The following is a 1,370-nucleotide window of genomic DNA, read 5'->3' as shown; positions in this document are numbered from 1 at the left end:
GTGCACAGATTTGGAAGGTGAGAGAGCTTGTTGATAGATTGAATATGCAGATGTAAAGGAGAAGAAGGTCATTTGGTTCATAGGTTTTGGGCTTATGAAACTGGATGGATGGGGATCCTAATCCCTGAGACAGAGGACATTGGAAAGGGACTAAATCCATATTTTGGAGAGGATGAGATCAAGGTACCTAGAAGCATCTATGTAGAGATGTCATATAAGTAGTCAGATCTAGAAGCTAGGCTAATGATTTATATTAATGAGTTATCATGTATAGATAACAATTGAACCCATGAGTATCAATAAGAAAACCTAGGCAGAAAACATAGAGTTAAAAGAGTACATAATGAAAAGTAGAAGTGACTGTGATTAAATTTTGATAAATACTAATATTTAATGACCTAAAGAGGCAGTGGATGGAGATACTGGAGGAACATAAGGGAGATGTCATGTCACATAAGCCAAAATAGAGTGTGATTCAAGAGGGGAGTGAACAGTCAACATGAAGATATGTGACCAAGAGGTCAAATAATAGGGAGCTGAAAGGTGGATTTAGAAAAGTGGTCATCTTAGCGGGCATTATATTGCTAGCTTGATATGATTGTAATCCACTTCAGAGTGGGTTGAGGAGTAAGTAAGAAGTAAGTAAATGGAGACAGGAAGTAAAGGCAGCTCTTATAAAAGAAATAGGTTGTAAAGAGAAGATAAGTGTCTCAGGGGGTAGATGTAGTGTCAGAAGAGAGATTTTTGGGAGACTTGATTTTGCTCTTTTGTTTGTTTTTAATATAGAGGAACTTGAGCATGTTTAGATGCTTATGGGAAGGACCTGGTTCCAAAGAAAGATTGATGGGAGAAAGACAAGGACAATCTATAGTCCATGTGAAGTCCCTGAGAAAAACTAAGTGGGCATGAGAAAAGGAGAAAAGGAGAAAAAATGAGGACAGGTGTAAATAGGTCTGTAGATTTAGCATTTGGAAATGGAGGGCATTTCCCACATGATGACTTCACTTTTCTCTGAGTCACAAGTTGGGTCAATTACTGAGAGATAGTAGAAAAGAAGATAAAGTGGCCAAGATCAGTTAGAGGAGAGGAAGTCTGAAATAATAGTTGTTATTAGTCAGCAACTCTAGTCAACAGTTTTAGATGATGATAAGAAACAGACAGGAAGTGTGGGGTAGAATAACTTAGACACTGAAGATGAAGAGGTCAAGGAGCTGAGCGGCCAGATTACAGGATGAAATGTCCATGTGACTGTTGAAGTCAATGGGTGATGGCAGAGGAAAAGCATTTGAGGAGCAAAAAGTGGAGAGTCTGAATGTCATAGGGCTCAAAGAAGATTTTTGCTTGTTTGGTGTTTTTTTGCCAAGAGGCTG

The sequence above is a fragment of the Homo sapiens genome, chromosome 5, assembly GCF_000001405.40.
Source record: "Homo sapiens chromosome 5, GRCh38.p14 Primary Assembly".
NCBI classification, from domain to species: domain Eukaryota; kingdom Metazoa; phylum Chordata; class Mammalia; order Primates; family Hominidae; genus Homo; species Homo sapiens.
This window is presented reverse-complemented; position numbering follows the sequence as displayed.